This window comes from Homo sapiens, chromosome 2 (genome assembly GCF_000001405.40).
Source record: "Homo sapiens chromosome 2, GRCh38.p14 Primary Assembly".
NCBI lineage: Eukaryota > Metazoa > Chordata > Mammalia > Primates > Hominidae > Homo > Homo sapiens.
In genome coordinates this window covers 8,480,384-8,481,831 of record NC_000002.12, presented here as the reverse complement: position 1 = coordinate 8,481,831, position 1,448 = coordinate 8,480,384, and the positions used below count along the sequence as shown (strand labels likewise).

Genomic DNA, 1,448 nt, shown 5'->3' with positions numbered 1-1,448 from the left:
GGTGGGTCAGGAAGGGAGGAGATGGTGCTGGCTGCCATATGACAAGCACCTCCTCTGTCCAGGCCTGAATTGAGTGTTTAACCGTGCAGCCACACAGAACCCACGCCGAGAAGGGTCCTACACTGATGTAATGCTCTGCTGCCTCTGTTTGGAAATTCTTAGTAATTATGAACATGGCACTCTGCATTTTCATTTTTGCACCAAAGCTGTTTCCTTTTCTTTCTGCACACACAGCCAGACCATATCTTCCAGCCTCCCCTGCGGTCAGGCATGGCCATGTGGCTGAGTCTGATGGATGGAGGGTGAAAGCCATCTGCATGCCCAGCCCAGAAGCGTCTCTGTGCAGGAGTCTTTAAAACACATGAGCTTGGTTCAGGTGGTGCAAAGAATTCTCGATTTCAGCAGGGCGGTATGTTGTGCACTTTTACTGCTGTCATCCAACAACAATGCAACTGTTCCTGGGGTCACTAAGTTGTCCTTCTAGGAGATGCTGCCAAGGACAGCAGACCAGGCTCTTTCCCCCTTTGGTTAATTGGGGTCTGACCATCAGGGCAACTGTGGAAGCCAGGTTTTGAAGATGGTACAGCCTGTGCTTGAGTCTCAATAACTGCATGGAGCAGAGCTCCCTGTGCCCACTGCTCCCTTGTCCCAGCCACTTGGAACTGCCCTGGACTCTCACACGAGCATAACAGGCATCTCTGTGTTGAGTGACCGCAGCTTCAGATCTGTGGTGCCTGCAGCCTGGCCCGTGTGAATGCCTCATTTTCAGAGGAAGGAGCTTCCTCAGAAGTTTCCCAGCGGACTTCCTCTCTCAGCTTGTTAGCCAGAATTATGCCTTATGTTTTTTCCCAAACCTGTCTCATCAAGGAGAAGGGAATTGCTACGATCAGCTTGGATGAATGAGGACTTACTCCCTAGGGCCAGGGAGGGCCCTGGTCACCCCAAGCCCAGGGCTGTCCACACCTGAGCAAAACTGGGCTTTGAATCACCGGGTCTGGCAGGGACTTGTCACTGAGTAGGCAGCCAAATAGTGTCTGGGGAGGAAGAAACACTTTAAAAAAAATTTTAAAATTTTAAAAAATTTAAACCATATTAAATGACAATGACCATATTAATTTTTTGAGGAACAATAAAATATTCCCTGTAATTTCTTGTACATTGGGGAGTGAAAAAATTATACATGTTGCATAGGTGGAGAGAAACTTTCCTGGAACTGTGAGGTTTATATAGAATTAAGAATGCCACGTGTAGGTCTTCAACCATAACTACTAGTTTTCCCACCTCTTATATGGACGCAATACATTCAAAGGAGAAGAACACACAGAGTTCCCTGGGAATTGTGATTAAAATGTGCTTAAATATCAGGCAGAGAGTGATGTGGGAAGTGGTTGATGTTGATGTTGAGTTTCTTTGGAACAGTCTACATTTTTGGACAAACGATTTTCCCG

General features: G+C 47.0%; 1 annotated feature.

Annotated features, from left to right (window-relative positions):
* Window positions 226-325: an enhancer, noted in NCBI's record as "active region_15257". NCBI's record gives its function as "activates an Ori minimal core promoter by ATAC-STARR-seq in GM12878 lymphoblastoid cells {active_cell/tissue: GM12878}" and the evidence as "EXISTENCE:reporter gene assay evidence [ECO:0000049][PMID:35858748]".